Genomic DNA, 25,328 nt, shown 5'->3' with positions numbered 1-25,328 from the left:
TAGGGACATCATGTGGCAAAATTATGAACTGCTACATTCAAAATATGTATTTAGGGACATCATGTGGCAAAATTATGAACTGCTACTAACATTTAATTGTGTGTATATTTAACATATACACACAATTGCTAATGGCATCTGACATAAAGGGAAATTTTTAAAACCATTTTTAAAAATATGAATTAAATAAGATTAGACATTAGATTAATACAGCAGTAGCTGCTATTAAAACTAGTTTATTAGAAGGAGTATTTTAGGACCGTATTAACCAGACATTAAGAAGTTATAGGGTAAAGAATCAAGCATGATCAAATAGATTTATGAAGTAAATAAAATAATAAGGATCACCTTCATCAGTTAATAAACCTATGGGACAGATACTCCCCACATGGCATGTTTTGATACACATCATTATTTTCCTAGATCCTCTGTTACAAAAAGAAAATTTAGTTTCCAAACTTTTAAGTAGTTAACTTGTTTTCTAAAAACCTTGGTTTTGGCTATAGTAATTGATTAGCAAATTCAGAGAAGAAAATAACTGAAAAACAATTAGTTGTCATTATGCAAATAAAACAGTTGACTGACTGAATCTTTTATTTATTTATTTTTTTTTCCAGCTGTTCTGCTGTGAAGTAGGGGGGCATAAGCTTTGAATTCCATAAAGGAAGGGATATTAAACTGATGGATTATTTCTTGCAAAAGCAGCTGTTGGTTTTAAACTACTTGTACTCAAATATGTATCTCTGCAGACATAAAATATTTTAAAGTATTATTTTTGGTTCTACATAGGATTTTGACCATATTTTAAATGAAACCATAATCTTTTTAGAAAAAAGATTCCTTAAAACTTACTAAATAAAATCCTGATATTTTAGATCTGAGGACATTGAAGTCCAATGACTAAACAATTCATTTGCCATTCTAAGGTCACACAATTTGTTGATGGCTGAGAAAGGATTCTCAATTCTTATACTTTTATTCTGGTAATCATTCTATTAAGCTGCTTCTCTCACTGTACTAACTCCATAATATATATGGTGCATTAATACAAGTGTTTGTAAGATGAGAATTATAAGTAATGCTAAATGTTCATTTAAATGGTCTTTCAGAAAAAAAAAAGTAAACTTCAAGAGTAATACAAATACATTTTCATGAGGACTAAGCCCTCTCAGAGGGTCAAAGACACATAGTTGAGTTAATGGAATTTTGGTCACCACTTGGTCATATGAAAACAAATGTGTAAAATGTTGATCCTGATGCCTATTTCTCATTTAAGTAGGTAAATTTTAAAAGAAATTTTGCAAATTACCTTTGTTCTTTAAAATATGAGTTTGAATAGTATCATCCAAGTTAGAGCTGTAGTTAAAACTGGAAAAAAATTCTGAAAAGTATTATTTTTCTTCTATTTATAATTTATAACTCCATTATAATATCATAGAATCATTATTTCATGTTTGGCTTAAGTGCCTCCTAGAATTATTTCTTAAGTTAAAAAAACCTGGAGAAAGTTTCTCTTTATTTCAAAGCAATGGTTTGGAATATTTTTATCTGAAATTATTTTTTATTTTTGCATTTCTGCCCATCAATCTGGAAATAATAATAGCTCATAAGAAAAAAAGCACCAAATATTTTTCAGATTAAAACTTCTCACAATAGTATACTTTCACAAAAGTGTAACTTTCAACAACAAATTTACAAGTGATAACAGAAATAAAAGCTTCATTTGAAAAAAAGGATAAGCTAACAGCGACTATCATGCTTAGAATATATATCTACTAAATACTATTCAATTACCAGAAAAAAATGCAAGATTCTACTGATGTACGCCATTTCAAAGTCAAATATAAGAAGCAATATACAAGTCCATTACAAAATGAATACTGAAATAAGTAAGTACAAAAGATATTGTAAGAATGAATATTCACACACAAAATGGTCCACACAAATCAAGATGGATTCATCTGGGAAAAAAATACTTGCTCAGAGGAAAAGCAGATATATCCAACATAGTTGCACTAAGAAAAAAAAGCAAAGTTTTAAGAAACAGGACTAATGAAATTTTAATTAACTAATGTTTACATCTTTTCAACTCCTTTAATTCTTCCTAAGTCACACTGAAATTATGAAAGCAAACAATATACAGAACTACCTGCCATTAAACCACCACATGCTATTTTTCTAAGAGGAGTTTGCTCATGTTGTGCCCCTCTCTGACACAAACTCTGCAAAGGGTTTACAACTGAGGTCAGGGAAGCATACCTTTTTCCTCTTCTACTCCCAAAATAACCTATGCAAAGAATTTGTGTATCTGCCTTCATCACTAGACTGTGACTCCTTAAACAAAAAAACAATGTTTTATTTATCTTTAGCTCCAGAATGCTTAGGAAAGCACACTTAGCATGTAAGAGGCTTTCAAAAAGACCTGTTTAAAAAAAAAAAAAAAAAAAAAACAACCTTAATCATTTTTGTCCAGAACAACAGTACACAAATCTGATGAAATTAAATCAGTGGCACATGTTAGTGACAGGTTCTTCATCCCTGTTTTAAAAATTTTCCAATAGCCATACAAGTAAGAAAAAAATACCACTTGTATCAGTATTACACAAACACAGAAGAGATGCCCTGCTTAAAATTATTTGCTAATAAATTATACAACAAGGTGAATTATCAATACAGATAAGACTACCTTCCTCTTTCCACTAAGTATTCTCCAGGACTTTCTTCTTCAAAACTCTAACTCTCCAGGACGTTCCTTGATCTCCTTGATTTTGTTTATTCCACTTCTACAATGCAAAGAATCCTCCAAAGAAAAGCAGTGGCAATACTGAAAGACCCAGATTCAAAACAGAGTTGACTTTTAGAAAGAGAAGTACTATTCGCCTTGATAGTTTGCTTTATTACTAAACAGATAACGAGATTGTGAAGATAGAAAAGACTTACTTAAAAATAAGTGATACTGAATGACCCAAGATATCTCCATATAGCAAATATTTAATATAGAACCTATCTATTCTAACCCTCCAGTCTATATTTGGTTTAGATCATTCTTGCACTGCTATAAAGGAATACCTGAGACTGGGTAATTTATACAGAAAAGAGGTTTAATTGGCTCACAGTTCTGTAAGCTTTACAAGCATGGTGCCAGAATCTGCTAGGCTACTGGGAAGGCCTCAAGGAACTTTTATTCATGGCTGAGGGCGAAGCAGAGGCAGGCACATCCCATGGCAAGAGCAGGAGCAAGACAGCGAAAGCAAGAAGGTGCTACACACTTTTAAACAACCAGATGTGGTGAGGAATCATTCACCATTGCGAAGACAGCACCAAGGGAATGGTGCTAAACCATTCATGAGAAATCCACCGCCATGATCCAATCACCTCCCACCAGACCCCAACTCCAACACTGGGGATTACATTTCAACATGAGATTTGGCAGGGACAAATGTCCAAACTATATCAGGATTCTACCCATTAAACTCACTCACTATCCTACAGATTACAGATCCCTAAAAATAACCCAGTAAATACATAATTTCCTTTTTTTTTTTTTTTTTTTTTTTTTTTTGAGACGTAGTCTGGCTCTGTTGCCCAGGCCTGAGTGCAGTGGCTTGATGTCGGCTCACTGCAAGCTCCGCCCCCCGGGTTCACGCCATTCTCCTGCCTCAGCCTCCAGAGTAGCTGGGACTACAGGCGCCTGCCACCACGCCCGGCTAATTTTTTTGTATTTTTAGTAGAGACGGGGTTTCACCGTGTTCGCCAGGATGGTCTCTATCTCCTGACCTCAAGTGATCCGCCCGCCTTAGCCTCCCAAAGTGCTGGGATTACAGGCGTGAGCCACCGCGCCCAGCCCATAATTTCTTTTCCTGCTGGTTAGGTAATGAGTTTCCAGTGAGATAAGAGAGGTCATTCCTTGCCATTATGAAGATGAAGATAGTCTCTAATTTTAAGTAAGTGAAAAAGGATAAGGAAGGTTCTATTTTGGCATTAACCCCAACTTCCAGCTTTTCTTTTATTAAGGGTATTTTGCTTAAAATAGAGCTTCCTTTAGATAGGACCAAAAAAAACACCTAAATATTTTAAAAATTGATTTTAAGGACCTGTAAACCAAGAACTTTTGAGATGCTAGTAAGATCACTAAATGCTCACCAGAAGTAAACTCCATGACTTCTAGTACTCATGTAGGTGCCTGTTATCCCTGAAAAGACATACATTTTTTTTCATAACAGCAATGATTGCCATTTAAGCAAAGCCTAATTTTTTTTCTTTTATTTTTCAAACTTGGGAAATAGAAGTGGTAACACCAAAACTGTATGGATATTAAAAGTACACTCTTAAAGAGATCTAAAATATTAATTTAAAAAATGACTTTATATCACATATGATAGTAAAAGATCATCAAGGTTAAGATTGGATGGTAATTCCCAAAATAGCATCACACTGAAAGGGTTAAAATAAGGATACTGAGGCAAATTCTTAAAAAAAAATTACTATCCCCAAAGAAAATATCTTAAAAACAGTACTTAAATGGATTCTCTAGAAAATTTGACTTCTCAAATTCTTTAATAGAGCCAAAAGATGACTTAATAGGTAAGGAACTTCGTTTGAGAAACTCTAGGAACTAATAACAACCTCTCAAGACTTCAAAACAATTCAATCCTTGGACTACGTAAGTATTTACTAGGATGTCAAGAACACACCACTACCACCAATTGATCTCAACTCTGAGCTATTTGATGAAACCCTATTACCTTTAACTAAAAGAAGGTGTAACTAGAAAGGCATCAACCTTTTAAAACCCAGAGGCTCCAACATTAACAGAAGGGAAAAAGTGATCCAGAACACTGCTATGGCAACACTCAGATCTACTCTTAACCTGCCATATGGCAACATAGAACCTCCTCACTGTCTACAGCTCCTGGCCCTACTTTAATGACCTCTGAAGGGCTGACATTTGTTTTCTGATCAAAGTTTCCTAGACCCCTGATCTCTGGCTCTTCTGCTTCCCTGAATTCTCTTTCTCCTTCTCAGCTGCCTAAATATATTTTCCTGCCTCTAACTCAACAATCTTCACTTACATAGGTAGTCAAGCACCATAAGGATTTCTGTGTTACTGTCCATAGACAAGACCTCAGGCTTTGCGTACTCCACCGAAATAGGACCTAGGGTTTTGTTTAATCTTTTTGTTTATATGTGAATTTTGCTTACATTATATTAACTGTTCTGAGCCTGAATACAGATTGAGGAAATACATAAAATACAAATTGTTCAACTTTTTATTAAAATCAGCATTGATACAAGGTTGATAAAATCTGGAATAGATGACTAAAGCAATCTGCATGTGCCCACTAAGGATTTCATTTACTGATGTTACCTTGATCACTAATTAACCATAATTAAGTTGAAAATATTGTACCTGATTAGGTGTTTTCTTAGGGAACTATCGGTTTAACTATGCTATATAGTTAACTATGGTAATAAGGGAGTTAAAAGCTCTGCTTCCATATAGAATCTGAATCTTCTTTATGAAATGGGCAAACAATGTCTACATATAATTTTGCCATAAATTAAACTAATATGGCTATGTTGTAAGAATTTTAGAAGTTTATGTGTAAGGGAATGAGGGAGGATAGAAATTTTAAAAATATTTCAGTATTAGCATGGTAGATCAGACACAAGTATCTTGGGAGAAACTTGCTCAGCAACTAATTACATCCCACTCCAAAATAATATTTAGACCCATTTTTCTCTAAGAAACTTAATTTGAATTATTTGCTGTCTACCTAACAATTTTATCTTTAACTTAGATGGTCTTTATTGAAAGTAAAATTGAAGGCTTCTATTTTGTGCATCAATAGAAATAAGAACTAAGAATTTATTAGCTTCAATGATGCTAAATCCCCAAATATCTCCAAACTAATAATTGAAGACACTGCTTAAATGTGTCTTCAAGCAGAACCTTACCTTTAGTCCCACAAGTTTTGCTGATATCTCCAAATCAGAATCTCTTAAAAATATTTGTAATATACTTTGGGAGGCTGAGGAGGGCGGGTCGCCTGAGGTCAGTAGTTCAAGACCAGCCTGGCCAACGTCGTGAAACCCTGTCTCTACTTAAAATACAAAAATTAGCCGGGCACGGTGGTGGGCGCCTGTAATCCCAGCTACTCAGGAGGCTGAGGCAGGAGAATTGCTTGAATCCAGGAGACAGGTTGCAGTGAGCCAAGATCATGCTACTGCACTCAAGTCTGGGTGACAAAGACAGACTCCATCTCAAAAAAAAAAAAAAAATTTCTAATACTATGGCAGTGGCTATGGTAAGCCTAAACAATATATAAAAGCAAGCCTAAACAATATATAAAAATTATTCTCCCTTTTGAGAATGTTTTTCTTGACTGTTTTCTCTTAAACTTGAGAATATGAATTTTAAATACATATAAGCTTCTGTACTATGGTTCTGCAACCATATAAAAAATAATTTTCAGTGAAGAGTTTCACAATTATAATCAAGAAACAATGATAACACTCAAAAGATCTTTCTCTTTTATTTGATTCTCAGGAAACCACTACTCTTCCAATAAATATTATTTGGGACACAAAGTAATCATCACTAAAATCTATAGCCGCATTAAAAAATAAACAGGTTTTGGGGGGTGGAGGAGGGGGGAGGCTAACCTAACAGTAAAAAACAGAAAGTAGGAAAACACCATAGTGATATTATGTCTCTTCCTTCACAACGTCAAATATTTAGTTAGCATATCTTTCTATGCTTTTGCAAAGCCTTTCATAATTATCCTTCAAACGTTTTAAAGAAAATTTACTTTTTGAAAAACATGAAATTAAAAAGAGAATGGTCACAAACATCTCTTAATGATGCTTTTTGTCTTTCATGAGTGATAATGACAAATTTCCAGATTGGTGAGCATAAAGCTGTGTCTACACACGACCCATCTGAAATCCCACTGATTTTACTAACTCCCTATCCCCTGCCCCTCAAAAAGATCATTATGTAGACTTCACCAAAGATGCAGGGACACTCTATAATAAATTGGTTTAATGAACATATCTTGTAACTTATACAAAAAATTTTTATTTCAACTGAGAATTAGTCATTAAAAAAACAATAAATTAATAAAACAGGGTTATGAACACTACAGTAAAACCAAATTTTCCCACAGGTTAATGCTTAAAAAGCTAAATGTAGGCCAGGTGCGGTGGCTCACGCCTGTAATCCCAGCACTTTGGGAGGCCGAGGCGGGCAGATCACGAGGTCAGGAGATCGAGACCATCCTAGCTAACACAGTGAAACCCTGTCTCTACTAAAAATACAAAAAATTAGCCAAAAAATTAGCCTGGCATGGTGGCACGTGCCTGTAGTCCCAGCTACGCGGGAGGCTGAGGCAGGAGAATCGCCTGAACCTAGGAGGCACAGGTTGCAATGAGCCAAGATCATGCCACTGCACATAAGCCTAGGCGACAAAGCAAGACTCCATCTCTCAAAAAAAAAAAAAAAAAAAAGAAAAGCTAAATGTAGGAAGATTTTACAGGGCACAAGTTTCAAGAAAGTTATCATGACTTTATAAAATTGAGATAAAATTTATGTTACATACTTACCACTAATGTTGAGTTCAAAATAAATGAATTTAAAAATAATCTACAGTATTTCCTAATTTCATATTATACATCATTTAAAGTATTTTTAAACTTACCCAAATGAAGTAATGTAAACTGGGCTGCCAGTTCCTTTGCATCTTCTAACGTAGTACAGAGTTTGTCTGGCATGAAGTAACTCTGGGATCCATTTGCAATAGCAGGAATAACTATCTTATACACCAAGAGTACTTTCCCATCTTGACTTGTTGTTGAATATAAATAATATTCTGGTGGTGCCCAGTTATTTTTGTTGCAGTAATAATCCAAATGCATTACTGCAGAATTAAAATGATTGGATTTTAAAGAATACATACTAATTGGAGTAAGCTTTGTTCCAGGATAAAAAGGGTAAGTGCATCTTTCAACTTCAGGCGGACTTGGGCTATGCTGACCATTGAGACGAGCAGGAAGAGTTGGCAGCTTGCCTAGAGTTTTTGGGTGGCTCTCTTCTTTGTTAGCAAACACAATCAGATTTTCAGAATTTGGACTAATCTGACCATTAAGATGCTGTCTCCAAGTGTTTTCTTTATTTACTGGTTTAGCTAGTGTTACCTCAATACTTGCTCCATCAATGCATTTTCCATTCATAACAGACATGGCAGCCACTGCATCTTCTCGGTTGAAAAAGTGAACAAAAGCATAATCTCTAAGTTTCTTTACCCGTTCAACTGCACCAGGCTTAAATTTATTGAATTCTGCTTTAATTGTTTCCTCTGTAGTTGAGATCATTAAATTTCTTACATAAAGAACTTTAACTCTCTGCATGGTTTCCTCATCCACCTCTTTCTCTGGGTCAGCCCAATCTACCTGAATGGTGTGGCCCCATAGTTGGAATGTTCCTGTAAAAAAAAAATAATAATTTGAAGAGAATTAAAATAAAGAATAAAAGGTAAAGATGTTCAGTAAAACTGTTTCCCCAGAGAAGCAGAAACTCAACTACACATCAATAAATTTGGTTAAGCATTTGTTTCCTATTCACACAAAAATTTTTACTAAAGTAAATAACTAAAACTTACTATGTAATTTCAGAGTCAATAGAACAAATACACTTCAAAGATAGATCTTTATCAGAAGAATTAAGTGTTGCCCTTTGGATTTTTATTAAACAACAATTAACAGCTCAAAGTGTATATATCCAGTAAAAATATCATAAATAGGACTCATTTTACTGGAACAATTTCTTGTCTTTTAGAATCATGTAATTTATTTTACTTCATTACTCAAACAATTCTTTACTCTTCTTTAAGTGACATTAGTATTTTGATAATATTGATCCCTGATGTACTATCATCTCTCCATATTTGTAATAATGTTAATATTGAAAAACAACCTTTCAGTTTACCTGGAATTAGTTTCCTCCTTGCCATAGCAGCAGCTCTGTGAGATTCATATTCCACAAATGCAAAACCACGATTTTTGGTCTTATCAGTTGCACTTGGATAAACAATGACATCTACAACTCCTTCTGTAACTTTCTTCATTTCATCTAAAATTTCTTCTTTCTTCTTTTCCTTGGGAATAGCTCCAATAAATAATCTACAATTATCCAGGCTTACACACACACCAATAAACTTCCCTGGTCGAATTTCATAATTATTAAGAATTCTGATGGCTAATTGGGCTTCTTCTTTTGTAGTGTACATCACAAAAGCATAACCTCGATTTTCACCACTAAATTCCATCATAAGTCGAAATTCATATATCTTCCCAGCTCTTTCAAATACAGGAACTAACTCATCTTCATACATATCACGAGGTATTTTTCCTACAAAAACTTCACAGCCTCTAGGTGGAGGTGGACCTTCCCAACCTGAACGACAAAAATGAAAAGACACATAAATTCTAATTGGATATTTGTACTCACTATTCAATCATATATTCATTCAACAAATTTGCTGTGCTATGTGCCACTCACAATTCTAGGTATTGGTGATACAACAGTGGACAAAATAAAGCCCCTTCCCTTATGAAGCTAATATTCAATAGAGAAGGGAGATAACAAGTGAGTGGTTAAGTGCTACGAAGAAAATCAAGGGAGTGGTCAGGCAAATCTCTGGGTACGTGAGATTTAAGCAGAGACCTGAATAGAATGAGGGAGTGAGCCATGAGGATTATCTGGGAAAAGGGCATTTGGAAAGAAGAAAAAGCAAGCGCTTTTATGTCAGAGCAACATAGATTATGGAAGCCTGTACAGCTAACATGTACGTGAGAAAGGAAGAAAGTGGTAAGTGCTACAGCCATTGAGGTACCCAGAAGCCAGATTTTTATTTTAAGTGTGATAAACTGAAGGGTTTCGGGCAAAGGAATTGTACTGACTATTGGTAGAAAAGTCGAACATTCTATTTACCTGTTTCCATTTGGTTTTCTAGTTTAAACACCACTCACTTACTCACTGCTGTTTCAAATTCCTCCCCAGATGATCTCCTCTTTAACACCTAGAGTAGCACCCTTTTTCCTACTTTCCTAATCCTGACTTCTTTCTCAACCTAGCCCAGCTTCTTTCTCAACTGCTTCTTAGATGAAGAGCAGGGCTGAAAAAATGTAATGGTAAGACATGAATAACATTTATAATTTAACTCTCCTCAACAGTAAAAAAAAAAATGTCTTAAAGCAGTTACAAGGAGAGAGCTATTGTTTGGAATACTTGTGGGGATACACATCTAATCTACATGACGAGGTTAAAGATTAAATTTAAAAGACTGTAAACAAATCCACACCTGGAGGAGGACCGCCAAATTTCCTTTGTCCATTTTCCTGAACCATGTTGTAACCAGTCTTTTCCATCAAAGCAAGTAATGCTGCTTCATTCTGAATACCAGTTCGAACTTTACTGCATCCATTTGTTCCATCTATATTTTCTTCATTCATGGTTGCAGTTCCTAAAATAAAGTTTAATAACACTGGTTAAGTTTACAACAGAATACCAAGAATCTATAAGGCATTTCTTTGGGTTGCAGAAAAACAAAGACAGTTGTGGCTGGCATGTTTGATTAGCCTTCACTGTCCTCTGAGGTTCTGCCCCAAAGCTCTTCCCTACAGTGGAAACTTGGAAACTTCTTTCAATGTCACTGACCAATTATGCAGTACCTTTAGAAGGCCTAAGCTATAAGAAAGGGACACAAACAATGAAAAAGAGAAAGCAACAAAGAATGAAAAAACAAAATTAAGTGAAAGAGAAGAAAAAGGAAAGCAAACAGAGTAACAACAAAATGTAAGCCATCAATGAATATACCTGCCAATCTACATAGCCCAAAATTTAAATCATTTTATCATCTAAGCCAACTGGATTTTCCTGTGGCTTACATTCAACCAATAAATGGCACCCCAACAAACATATTTCCTCTCTTCCAAACTCTCACAACCAGAAATCTGGGTGTTATCCCAGAGTCCTTTGATGCACAGCTCATCAGTCACTAAGACTTGAAGATTTTATCAGATATTTATTTCATTTTTTGAGACAGAGTCTCACTTTGTCACCCAGGCTAGAGTGCAGTGGTGTGAAGGTGGCTCCTGCAGTGTTGGCTTCCTGGTCTCAAGTGATTCTCCCACCTCAGTCCCCCAAGTAGCTGGGACTGCAGGCACACACCACCATGCCTGGCTAATTTTTGTTTTTATTTTGTGTGTGTGTAGAGACTGGGTTTCACCACGTTGCCCAGGCTGGTCTCAAACTCCTGAGCTCAAGCAATCCACCCACCTAGGCCTCCCAAAGTGCTGGGGTTATAGATGTGAGCCACTGCACCCGGCCCTAAATATTTCTTGAAATCAGTCTATTCCCGTCCATCCCTACAGCCTATTCTCAGATGATTATTTTTTACTTCAATTAGTGCTAGGTTCCTAAATGCTGTTCCAACTTTTAATTTTGTTGCCCTCAAAATCTCCATAATGCTATCAAGGTGATATAAAATATATATCTGCTTAATTTAAACTTCTATTTCAAATCAAAAATAAGGAAGAAAATGACTAAATTATTAATCTTAAAATCAGGGAGCTCCTTCTAAAAAATAAGTTTAAAAGCTTCAAAGGTACCTGGGAGTTTGAGGCTGCAGTGAGCCGTGACTGCAAACCACTGCACTCTGGCCTGGGCAACAGGGCAAGATCCTGTCTGAAACAAACAAATCCCTCAAAAAAATACATTAATAGATTTTTTTACTACATAAAAATACTTTAGAAGGCAAAAGAAAAAATCCACAAAAACTAAGTCAAAAAAATTACACAGAAAAATGATCTGCAATACATCATAAAGAGCTAATTTCCTTAAAATAAAAAGGACAGCATGGTGTTATAAAGTGCAGACTCAGGTTCAAGACTGGCTAAAAAATCTGAATCCTGGTTCTTCCCTTACTAAGCTCTGACTTTGGACAAATTATTTAGCCTCTCAATGCCTATGTTTACCTGTCTATAATAAGTAGATAATAATAGTTTCTACCTCAGGGTAGAAGGATTCAGGGGATTCAAAATAAAGGGTTTAAAATAGGTCTTTGCATATAAGCACTATACATGTATTTCCTATTATTATTACCTAATAAAACAGTAAGAAAAACAAACTGCACAGCAGAGCCTGCAAATTCAAAATGCATTCATTTGTTCAACAAAGATTTATTAAGGACCAACTATATTCTATGCACTATTCCTTACATCTGGGATATTATTAGTAAATAAAAGGCCAGAATTTCTCCCTTGCATAGCTTACACTCTAATGGGGAAAAAATAACAGATGATTAAAAAAAAAAAGCAAATAATAAGAGGTAAGAATACTTAGGGAAAAAAGGAATAGGAATAGGGCACATGGGTCAGTGGAAGGTTGACAAGGGAAGAGAACCTGCCAATTTAAACAGGAAAGCTAGTGCAGACTTCACCAAAAAGGTAACCTTCCAGCAAAGAATTAAGGAGCCTACCCATGCAGCTATCTGGGAAGAACATCCCATACAAATGGAGAAACCAAGACAAAGGCCTTATATAAAGGTGTACTTGGCATGTACAAGGTATACCTTGTAAGTTAGGTAACTTCTTATAAACTTTAGCTTTTATTCTGAGTTAAATGAGGAGCTACTATAGATTCTGAGCATACAAGTAACAGGTTCTTTCATTTTAAAAGGATCATCTGGCTGTTGCATGGGGAAGTCAGTAGAAGGGCAAAGGTGGAAGCAGTGAGACCACTTATGCCTGTAATCTCAGCACTTTGGGAGGCCGAGGCAGGCAGATCACGAGGTCAGGAGGTCGAGATCATCCTGGCTAACACGGTGAAACCCCGTCTCTAGTAAAAATAGAAAAATTTAGCCGGGCGTGGTGGCGGGTGCCTGTAGTCCCAGCTACTCAGGAGGCTGAGGCAGGAGAAAGGCAAGAACCCGGGAGGCGGAGCTTGCAGTGAGCAGAGATAGCACCACTGCAGTCCAGCCTGGGCCAAAGAGTGAGAATCCATCTCAAAAAAAAAAAAAAAAAAAAAGTGATTACTACTAAAATCCAGGCAAGAGATGATGGTGGCATGGGCCAGAGAGGTTGAGGTGGAAGGGATAAGGGGTCTGACTTGAGATATATTTTGAAGTACATCCAACAGAATTTTCTGACATACTGTGAGATAAACAGGCAAGTGAAGGATGACACCACAGTTCTGGCCTAAGCAACAAGGAAAGAGATGAACACTGAGTAGAACTGGTTTTAGGGGTAAGATCAGGGTTCAGTTTAAGGAATTTTAAATTTGAATATCAAACGATCACTCAAATGCTTTTACAAGGCTCTGGCAAGAAATGTTAAGAGGTCAAGAAATGAGACCATAAGAAATGGAATCGACCGTGCTCCTATAAAGTCCAATGCACCATCTGAAAAAGGCAGTGGCTACTAAACTCCAGCAAACTAATACAAGAGAATCCAGCTTGCCTAGTTATACCAAATTTTCCAATTTTTCAAAATCTCTCAATATTTAAAAACTGAAAATTAATTTGTCAAACAGCTATGAAAGTGTACAGACCAAACAAAACACCTGCAGGCTTCCTACGGTTCAAACTCTGGGCTGCATGAGGGCAGAGACCACTTCAGCCTTCAACACTTTCTCAAGTACCCACCACAGTCTTTGGCACACAGAAGGTACTCAATAATTATCTGCTGGGAAGCCCAACAGAAAACTCAGGGAAAACTTAAGACTTCATACACTGCTAGCATGTATGCATTACTGAAATTATCCTTTTAGAGGAAAATTTGATAATAGCTATCAAAATCTAAAATACACATATACTTCATAATTACTAAAAATTTAACCTACAGATATAACTGCAAGAGTATACAAAGATATAAGCATAAGAATGTTCAGTGAAACACTGTATATAGAAATAACAGTCTAGAAAATATCTAGCTCCTCTTCAGTAGAGGACTGCATCAAAAATCAGGATACAACTATACAGGGAATGTTATGAAGCTATTAAAGAATATCATAGATTTGCATGTACTGATATGGAAAAATATTCAAGAAATACGTGAGAAAGAGCAAGTAGAAAATATATTTACTTTCATATCAACTGTGTGTTGTTTTAAAGATATACATGTACACATTCATAGATGGCTGTGTAGGAATATAAAAATGTTGAAATAATTTACAAGGAACTTTACTGGTAGTTATCATTGGTGAGTAGGAATAAGGACTCAAGTAACCCTTACTTCTCACTTTTCTGTGATTATCAAGAGCATGTGCTACTCAATTAAATAAAAAGCCCTTTCAGGGGTTTCCCAGTTCCTTAAAAATAAAATCTGAACTCTTTAGAAAGCCATAAGGATCTCTTCATCATCTCTTCCTCCAGCTTCATTTCTTATGATATGCCAACAACAATGCTGACCTATTTGCAAATTCTCAAATATGCCAGGTGCTCATATATGTTCCTTTACATAGATTGTTCCTATAGTCCTTCTCTACTTTCTTGGCCTTTCCTATTCCTAATATTCTCCAGGAAAACCCTCCCTGACCCTCCCTCTCAACTCTAAATCAAGTATTCCCTTATATGTACTTATATCACAGAATCCATTTCAGCGTGCTGTGACTGTCAATTCCCTCCATCTCTCTCCCACTACCAGACATTGAAAAGGGTCTAGCCTTTCATTTCTGAATCCAAAGCACCATGCAGACCCCTTGGCATATGATAACTATTCATTCAATGAATGAGACACGGAAGGAGAGACATCATGATTTAACTAAAAATAATGCAACTGTGTGGGAGAAGACCTGAATTCCAGTTGTTGGTCAGATTTTGGCAAGCACTTTACAACTCTGACCTTTACTTTCTTAATCTATGAAATTCCATTTTACTTCTACATTTAATGATTTAGCATATTAAATACCACATATAATGACACGCACTTTATATACATTATCTCATTTATTATTTATAGTAATCTGTAAATATTTTTCTTTTCCAGTTTAAAAATACATAAAACGAGACTAAGAGAGAAAGTAATAGTGCTATTAAATTGATAAGGTAAATATGGTATTCAAATCAGAAATCTGTTTGCCCAAATGCTGGGCTACTAACCCCTACTTGTACTACTCTAATTTTAGATATTTAAAATTCACATCTCTGAAAAGCTATGTGATTTACTTGAGGTCATGTAACTTACAAATAGCAACACAAATACCTGAATCCAGATTTTTTTCACAATTTTTTTTAGATTATAACATCAAATCAATTATTCATACCTTCTCCGAAAAACTATTTCATGCTTTTAAAACAACCCAAACATTGTATTAACTTAGATGGAAAAGTCCGGCAACAAAACTTTTTGGAAAACCCTTAATAAAAGTAATTTCAGATTTATAAGAAACCTTAAAAATCATCTAATTCAACCACCCACCTGATATGTGTATCCTCTTTATAATATTGCCACAAAGAAGATATGCATCTTATTTTTTATTCTTACAAAGAACTCATTATCCTCTAGAGCAACTAAACTTTGAATAATTATTTAAGAAACTTATTTCTTATAATGTATCATAATCTCTTTCCTGGTTAACTTTCACATTTCGATCTTGATTTTAACTTTCTGGCAAAAGTGAACCTGCCCCTTTCATATAACTGCATTTGAAAGATGATTCACTTCCAAGTACCTGGGACTACAGTCATGCACCACCACATCCAGCTAATTTTTTATACAGATGGGGTTTCAATATGTTACCCAGGCTGGTCTCGAACTCTTGGGCTCAAGTGATCCACCGCCTTGGCCTCTCAAAGTGCTGGAATTACAGGCGTGAGTCACGGCACCTGACCTCATTACCAGTTATTTTAACCAGACACTTCCTAAACTGGCATCCCTTAAAACATTGTTCCAGAGGTGATTAAAAGGTCTCCAAAATGTGTTCGATGTCTAAACACACCTGAGAAATCACTATGCATCCCTCTTAAAAGGATCACAATGATCATCTGCATATTTAAGGCCAAGAAAAGTTTCAGTTAAAAAGAACTTTCCAGCTTTAACTCAAGTGTTTCAGCATGATACCCTAATTGTCCTTAGCCTATCTATTAAGTTTCTACAGAACCATGGGAAAATGCTACTTAACTGTTTCTTATATGACATAGTTTATGTTCTCTCATTATCCTGTCTCTTCTTCCTTCAAAAGTGTGGTTGGCCAAAATTGAAAACTCCAGCAATACAGATAAACAGCACAATGGTGTTCTACAAAGCTGCATGCTATTGTCGGTTGAAATTCAGCATGCTGTCAACAAAAACCTCAAATCTGCCCCACCCTATATCAAGTATCCGAATTTAGAATCAACTTAATCTCATCTTATTAGATTCAACCTGCCAGTTCTTCCTACCTCCCGTCTGATCTTTTACTCACTTGTCCCATCCATGAAATGGCTAATTTTTCCCGCTTTTCCAAGATAAAACTTTTCATATTAGCAAACTTAAGAGCTATCTGTCCAAATATAAACAGAAAACATCTTAAAACTTCCCTAGTCTGACCATTAGTAATAGAATTCTGCATTGTCTTAAATAGTCAACATTGTTTCATAATTGTAATATCATAGAATATCTACCCATCAATACAATCTGGGCCCTGATAATTCATTTTAAGATGTATTTACATTTGAAAAACAGGTATATGTGATATTCTGAAGAAACTCATTTTGCTTTTTTTAAAAATTTATTCCCCCGAGGGGAATGCACCATACCTGGAGGTACTGCAATATCAAGTCAGTGAGTGGAGCAGATGGAGCAAGCTCCTATTCCCTCTCCTGGCTCCAAAAATCCATTTAAGATCTGTTCTCAGCACAACATATCAGAATCCCTGGGACACATTTAAAGCAGTGTGTAGAGGGAATTTTATAGCACTAAATGCCCACAAGAGAAAGCAGGAAAGATCTAAAATTGACACCCTAACATCACAATTAAAAGAACTACAGAAGCAAGAGCAAACACATTCAAAAGCTAGCAGAAGGCAAGAAATAACTAAGATCAGAGCAGAACTGAAGGAGATAGAGACACAAAAAAACCTTCAAAACATCAATGAACCCAGGAGCTGGTTTTTTGAAAAGATCAACAAAATTGATAGACCACTAGCAAGACTAATAAAGAAGAAAAGAGAGAAGAATCAAATGCAATAAAAAATGATAAAGGGGATATCACCATCGATCTCACAGAAATACAAACTACCATCAGAGAATACTATAAACACCTCTACACAGATAAACTAGAAAATCTAGAAGAAATGGATAAATTCCTGGACACATACACCCTCCCAAGACTAAACCAGGAAGAAGTTGAATCCCTCAATAGACCAATAACAGGCTCTGAAATTGAGGCAATAATTAATAGCCTACCAACCAAAAAAAGTCCAGGACCAGATGGATTCAAAGCCAAATTCTACCAGAGGTACAAAGAGGTGCAGGTACCATCCCTTCTGAAACTATTCCAATCAATAGAAAAAGAGGGAATCCTCCCTAACTCATTTTATGAGGCCAGCATCATCCTGATACCAAAGCCTGGCAGAGACACAACAAAAAAAGAGAATTTTAGACCAATATCCCTGATGAACACTGATGCAAAAATCCTCACTAAAATACTGGCAAACCGAATCCAGCAGCACATCAAAAAGCTTATCCACCATGATCAAGTGGGCTTCATCCCCAGGATGCAAGGCTGGTTCAACATACACAAATCAATAAACGTAACCCATCATATAAACAGAACCAAAGACAAAAACCACATGATTATCTCAAAAGATGCAGAAAAGGCCTTTGACAAAATTCAACAGCCCTCCATGCTAAAAACTCTCAATAAATTAGGTATTGATGGGACGTATCTCAAAATAATGAGCTATTTATGACAAACCCACAGCCAGTATCATACTGAATGGGCGAACACTGGAAGCATTCCCTTTGAAAACTGGCACAAGACAGGGATGCCCTCTCTTACCACTCCTACTCAACATAGTGTTGGAAGTTCTGGCCAGGGCAATCAGGCAGGAGAAATAAATAAAGGGTATTCAATTAGGAAAAGAGGAAGTCAAATTGTCCCTGTTTGCAGATGACATGATTGTATATTTGTAAAACCCCATTGTCTCAGCCCAAAATCTCCTTAAGCTGATACGCAACTTCAGCAAAGTCTCAGGATACAAAAGCGTTGTGCAAAAATCACAAGCATTCTTATACACCAATAAAAAACAGAGAGCCAAATCATGTGAAGCAATTCACAATTGCTTCAAAGAGAATAAAATACCTAGGAAGCCAACTTACAAGGGATGTGAAGGACCTCTTCAAGGAGAACTATAAACCACTGCTCAATGAAATAAAAGAGGACACAAACAAATGGAAGAACATTCCATGCTCATGGATAGGAAGAATCAATACATGAAAATGACCATACTGCCAAAGGTAATTTAGACATTCAATGCCATCCCCATCAAGCTACCAATGACTTTCTTCACAGAATGGGAAAAAACTACTTTAAAGTTCATATGGAACCAAACAAGAGCCTACATTGCCAAGACAATCCTAAGCAAAAAGAACAAAGCTGGACGCACCACGCTACCTGACTTCAAACTATATAAGGCCACAGTAACCAAAACAGCATGGTACTGGTACCAAAACAGAGATATAGACCAATGGAACAGAACAGAGCCCTCAGAAATAATACCACACATCTACAACCATCTGATCTTTGACAAACCTGACAAAAACAAGAAATGGGGAAACGATTCCCTATTTAGTAAATGGTGCTGGGAAAACTGGCTAGCCATATGGAGAAAGCTGAAACTGGATCCCTTCCTTACACCTTATATAAAAATTAATTCGAGATGGATTAAAGACTTAAATGTTAGACCTAAAACCATAAAAACCCTAGAAGAAAACCTAGGCAATACCATTGAGGACACAGGCATGGGCAAGGACTTCATGACTAAAACACCAAAAGCAATGGCAACAAAAGCCAAAATTCACAAATGGGATCTAATTAAACTAAAGAGCTTCTGCACAGCAAAAGAAACTACCATCAGAGTGAACAGGCAACCTACAGAATGGGAGAAAATTTTTACAATCTAACCATCTGACAAAGGGCTAATATCCAGAATCTCCAAAGAACTTAAACAGATTTACAAGAAAAAAAATCAAACAACCCTATCAAAAAGTAGGCGAAGGATATGAACAGACACTTCTCAAAAGAAGACATTTATGCAGCCAACAGACACATGAAAAAATGCTCATCATCACTGGCCATCAGAGAAATGCAAATCAAAACCACAATGAGATACCATCTCATACCAGTTAGAATGGTGACTATTAATAAGTCAGGAAACAACAGGTGCTGGAGAGGATGTGGAGAAATAGGAACACTTTTACACTGTTGGTGGAACTGTAAACTAGTTCAACCATTGTGGAAGACAGTGTGGTGATTCCTCAAGGATCTAGAACTAGAAATACCATTTGACCCAGCCATCCCATTACTGGGTCTATACCCAAAGGATTATAAATCATGCTGCTATAAAGACACATGCACATGTATGTTTACTGTGGCACTATTCACAATAGCAAAGACTTCACACCAACCCCAATGTCCATCAATGATAGACTGGATTAAGAAAATGTGGCACATATACACCATGGAATACTATGCAGCCATAAAAAAGGGTGAGTTCATGTCCTTTGTAGGGATATGGATGAAGCTGGAAACCATCATTCTCAGCAAACTATGGCAAGGACAGAAAACCAAACACTGCATGTTCTCACTCATAGGTGGGAACTGAACAATGAGAATACTTGGACACAGGGTGGGGAACATCACACATCGGGGCCTGTCATGGGGTGGGGGGAGGGGGGAGGGATAGCATTAGGAGATATACCTAATGTAAATGACGAGTTAATGGGTGCAGCATGGCATATGTGTACATATGTAACAAACCTGCACATTGTACCCTAGAACTTAAAGTATTAAAAAAAAAATTTGTCCTCAGATAGAAGACATATCAGATATTAAACTGGTAAGAACACATACTATACTTGATCTTGGCCAAATGGCCGAGAAGAGTAGAAACTCACTTATTGAAAAATAATAAAGTTATATTATAAAGATCTATCTCCAGAGAAGGAAAAAAAGCTATTCAGCTTTCCCTCAATTCCTCCTTTCTTATTCATTTCAATATGATAAGTACTATCTCATTTATATTGCTTTTAGGTTCTTATAATTTACTAACCTCACACAGTTATTGTTTTTGTTTTCCAAGAAGGAGTCTCGCTCTGTCACCCAGGCTGGAGTGCAATGGCGCAATCTTGGCTCACTGCAACCTCCACCCCCCAGGTTCAAGCGATTCTCCTTCCTCAGCCTCCCAAGTAGCTGGGACTACAGGCATGCGCCATCATGCCTGGCTAATTTTTGTATTTTTAGTAGAGGTGGGGTTTCACTATGTTGGTCAGGCTTGTCTTGAACTCCTGACCTCGTGATCCACCCGCCTCAGCCTCCCAAAGTGCTGGGATTAAAGGCGTGAGCCATCGCACCTGGCCTACTGTTTTTTTTTTTTAACCGAAGATTTAAGATGAATATCCTCACACATTTATTAAACAGCAGAAAGAGAAAGTAGACAATAATTTTTATCAAGGGAAAAGTCTTATGTCTGTATTATCAGCTTTGTATCTTACACTATACCTCATGGACAGATTTATGTGACACCAAATGCAATAAATAAAACAATGTAATATTAATAGATTCAGATAAAAGAAATGTTATTTTTTGTAATCAGAACCACTAATAAGATAAAGACTGGCCAGGTACGGTGGCTCACGCCTGTAATCCCAGCACTTTGGGAGAATGAGGCAGGTGGATTGCCTGAGGTCAGGAGTTCAAGACCAGTCTGGCAAACATGGTGAAACACCATCTCTACTAAAAATACAAAAAAATTAGCCAGGCATGGTGGCATGCGCCTGTAATCCCAGCTACTCAGGAGGCTGAAGCTGGGGAATTGCTTGAACCTAGGAGGTGGAGGTTGCAGTGAGCTGAGATCGTGCCACTGCATTCCAGCCTGGGGGAGAAAACGAGGCTCCATCTCAAAAAACAGAAGATAAGGATTGACTGAGCAACCAACTTTCAGTCTTTTGTCTTTTAAAAAATTCAATATTTTTCTATCACCATTCCTTTAAAATTAAGAGCATTTTAAGTGATATAACCACCTTTCTCAACACTGTTTGACTCTAGGTTTTGCCATTAAACCATCACTGAATATTTTGTAGTAATATTACAACTGCAAGTGGACCTTAGATGACCTCCAATACTGTAGACAAGAAAACCAAAAGTAAATACGGTGAAGAGTCCTGCTTAAAGTCACAAAATTAGTAATCGAAAAGACCAAGGGCCCAAACCATGGAGCCTCAGAAATTCATAACTCTGAACTCTCTTCAATAATTTAGTCCAGAGAGTCTTCAATGGCCTCGACATCCCACAGGACATCATACTGGCCCACTACACTAAAGATCATGTTGATAAAATGTGAATAGGGAATTGTGACATTTGTATTTTTTTAAACATGCTACAGGAAAAACAGTGAGAGAAAAAACAAGAATCTAGTTAAGACTGTTGCAAAAGTTTTTGCCATTAAAAGTAATGGCAAAAACTGTGATTACTTTTGCACCAATCTTAATATGGTACCTTACATATGCTACTTACTGGTTATAGAAATAATAAATATGCTCCCGTTTTATCCAAAATGTAGAATTTAACTTAATAAACAAGACTTTTTTTTTTTTTAACTACAATTCACAGCTAGCTCCAAATGGCTGATTTCTGCAATCCAACCCATCTCTACAATTACCTTACAGACCTATTTTTTGGGTTAATTCATGTCTCTAAAGTTCTATTTTTAAAGAGATTATTTAGGTTCTTACAATGAAATAACATGCCAGTCCATACACATTAAAGGCTCCTTTTACTAGATAATGACTAGAAACATATGCTAGACTTTGTACATCTCAAGAAATCTCAATCAAAATATTATGAAAGCTTGAAATTACAGAAGTAAAAGACACACTGAAGAGTCACCAATCCTATATTCTCTTTAGAAAAAAAAACCCTTATCTCAAAGCCTCCAAAACAAAATATATGCACGTGTATAATTCACAAGAAAGTTCAAAATTACCTAACTTTAACATATTAATTTAACAAAAGTTTATTTCTAAAAGAGGCAAAATTCAAGAATAGCCAGAGAAATATAATCAAATCTAAAACAAGCATACAATACATTCATTCTAAAATACTCCAGAATCAACCTGTTACCTAAATATCCAAGAAAGCACATCTGTCCTATACATTAAAGCAAAACTGACATACCAATTGAGGCTTCCAGACTTAATTTGTCCTCTGCCACTTTCAGGTGTGAAGTCACACTACAAAGCGTTCTAAAAACTTATTTCCTTACCCTGCTGACCCAAGTAATCCAAGTAAGAGAAGGAGGGATCCTGAGTAGAATGTCAAAAATGGTTTTGCAGACAAAGTGGGAATGAGAAATTAAAAGTTGTGCCATATTTAACTCTAGCTTTCAGATATGTATTTTTTTCCCTAAACTGTAGACTTTCAAAGATTCCTCTCTAGCTCACTTTCAAAAGAAAAAATAGAAGGAAAAAACCTCTCTAAGGTATGAAGCAAAAGGCCAAGACAGGATAGCAAATCACAAGCTATTCAAGTAACAATGTGAATCAAGCCTTTATCTTTAAGTGCTAACTATATCTCCTTTAATTTTAACCTTCTTAACAATTATCAAAAATATGTATTTTCAAATTTGTACTGCCATTCAAAAATAGAAAGTATATTAATGAAAAAAGACAAGCACAATTTAAGCAAAACATTAATGAAAATTATTTAAAGGAACTGTGTCAGCTGTATTAAAACTACTTCAACTGAAACTTCATCTTCCAAGTTACTGTAAAAATTTAGAAAGCTGTGAAAGAGAACATTATATAATCTTACTGTGGGTTTTAAAAACTCAATGTAATAATGAAAAAAATTAAGAATATCAAAGCGTGCCTTTATAGGGGCACATTAAATGTTTATGACATTTCTTGAATTACATGGTACTAAACTCCTGATTTGTTAGCACTGTTGTCATTGAGTATGGTACATGGAAACCATGGTTGCCAGGTCAATGGTTGCCAGGTCAATGGAGGTTTTCTGTTTGTTTTTAAGCAGCAATTCATTTTAGTGACAGACTGCACTACAGCCACTACACTTCTCGTTCTTGGAAAACGAGAAGAGTTAATCAAAAGTGTGTGGACATGGAAGTCTAAAATTATTTCGAAATAAGTGTACAGATGGATCAGTTCAATTCCATTTTAAGTTGTTTTTATTAAAGAATGAGAGCACATTTTATTGCTAGAAGTTAAATATATAATGGATAAAAGTTTTAATATTAAGTTTAAATTCTGAATGACTTAAAAATTGAACTATTTAAAAAAACTGTAACTAATACTTTTAAAAAATACTGCTTTGAACACAAAGGTGTATATGCTGTTTGAATTCAGGATAAAGATATCTACATATTCTTGTCCAAATTAAGTACACCATTCCTTACACAAGGTCCTTCATAATCTGTTATTTTAAATCTGTTACCAATTTGAACATAGAGATCACATTTTCTTGCCTCATCAATCATCGGGTAGTAAAATGAGAAATAACATTCGGCATTAATATGCAAATCTGGACAATTTTTACAGCAATTACTTGATTTGTAGTCACAAACTCTACTTAAACTGACATGTCTTCCTTCTCCTAACAATAAAATAACACCATTAAACCTGAGACTTAATTTCAGTCCATAAACTGGGTTTGTTCTCGTTATTAATAATTCTTGTTTCATAATATATCCAGTAATGCATATATTTTAAGTGTTGATATGTATTATATTTGGCAATAATATTCAAGTACATTACTCCAACCTCTTAAGTGAAAATCAGCAATCAAAGCAGTGCCTTAAGCAGAAAGCATTAATATTTAGTGATTGCAGGCAGCACTGTCATCTTTATGTCTATAAAGATGCAAACAAATTTTATTAACAATGCAAACAAATGCAGACAGATGCAAACAAAGTTTAAAGTAGAATGTTTTAAACGTGTGCCCTGAAAACAAGTCTATTATTAGACCCCCATAAGGAGATTCAATTCTGAAAAGATCCAAATGGAAGTCTGTCAAACTGTATATACATCGTGGTGATTCTTGAAACGAAAATATCTTCCCATTATTTAAATAAGCAAAATTCTACAGACCCTTGAACATGTCCTTTATATGTTATTCTCCTTATACACGCAACATATCCTGCTTCCTGGTTATAACGCCATTCTCAAACACAAAATCAGGCCAATTTTTAAGAGAAGCCAAGACTTAAAAAGCTCGGCGGCGATGGCTCACGCCTGTAATCCCAGCACTTGGGGAGGCCGAAGCGGGTGGATCATGAGGTCCAGAGATCGAGACCATCCTGGCCAACATGGTGAAACCCTGTCTCTACTAATACAAAAATCAGCTGTGCGTGGTGGCGCGCGCCTGTAGTCCCAGCTACTCCCGAGAGTTTGAGGCAGGAGAATCGCTTGAACCCGGTAGGCGGAAGTTGCAGTCAGCCGAGATCCTGCCACTGCTCTCCCGCCTGGGAGACAGAGCGAGACTCCGTCTCAAAACAAAACAAAAAACAAAACAAAAAAACTCCTTATGATATTTCCTCTTTGATATTTGCCTATATTAGGATTACCACATAACATAAAGGTTACGGGGAATTTATCAAGAATGTAAAGACAGTTAAAGCTTAAAGAACTTAAATATTACCTAAGCTAAATTTACATAGGAGAAAACTGGTGCCCAAATAAATCAAGCAGCTTCGCAATATCTCAGAATATCAACGCCAGGATTAAATGCCGCTGGTTCTGTGGTTTTTCCAGCAGCTCCAAAGAAACATTTTTAAATTAGGGGTTTAAAAACTACCAGATGTTAGGAAACAAAGGCGGTGCCACGACGTGTGCTGCCGTCCGTGTGTCGGGGGAGAGGCGAGCTATCTTCCCTGTGCACCCGCGGCCTCCCACTGCCCACAGCCCAGCACACACGAGGTACTCGGGGAAGAAACAGGGAGACAAAGGCAAAGTAAAGTTCGAGGCTCAGTCCCGGCTAGAACTCCACGCAAACGACTAGGAGCCCGCTAAAGCTCACCCAGCCTGAATTCAATTCTGAAACCAGACTGCTGAATC

The 25,328-nt window shown here is 36.2% G+C and overlaps 1 protein-coding gene and 2 pseudogenes across 10 annotated transcripts in view; all 3 read right to left on the bottom strand.

The window, feature by feature from the left end:
• Positions 1–25,328, bottom strand: part of RBM46 (RNA binding motif protein 46) — a 47,542-nt gene that overhangs the window by 21,549 nt on the left and 665 nt on the right. For 7 of the 10 annotated variants that reach the window (NM_001277171.2, XM_006714120.2, NM_144979.5 and 4 more), the window contains exons 2-4: positions 10,362–10,523; positions 8,987–9,454; positions 7,701–8,483 (exon numbers count right to left, since the gene is read on the bottom strand). In NM_001277171.2, the coding sequence (NP_001264100.1) occupies positions 7,701–8,483; positions 8,987–9,454; positions 10,362–10,512 (1,402 nt within the window). In that variant the 5' untranslated portion in view covers positions 10,513–10,523. Of the gene's footprint in view, positions 1–2,750; positions 2,825–7,700; positions 8,484–8,986; positions 9,455–10,361; positions 10,524–11,670; positions 11,690–25,290; positions 25,310–25,328 lie in introns of those variants that run through there. The other 3 variants (XM_011531694.3, XM_011531696.3, XM_011531697.3) reach the window with 3 other exon arrangements.
• RNU2-44P (RNA, U2 small nuclear 44, pseudogene) lies at positions 16,781–16,974 on the bottom strand (annotated as a pseudogene).
• Positions 19,987–20,147, bottom strand: RNU2-66P (RNA, U2 small nuclear 66, pseudogene; annotated as a pseudogene).

This window comes from Homo sapiens, chromosome 4 (assembly GCF_000001405.40).
Source record: "Homo sapiens chromosome 4, GRCh38.p14 Primary Assembly".
In the NCBI taxonomy this organism is placed as follows: domain Eukaryota; kingdom Metazoa; phylum Chordata; class Mammalia; order Primates; family Hominidae; genus Homo; species Homo sapiens.
The sequence above is the reverse complement of the archived record's forward strand: the minus strand, read 5'-3'. Positions and strand labels throughout refer to the sequence as shown.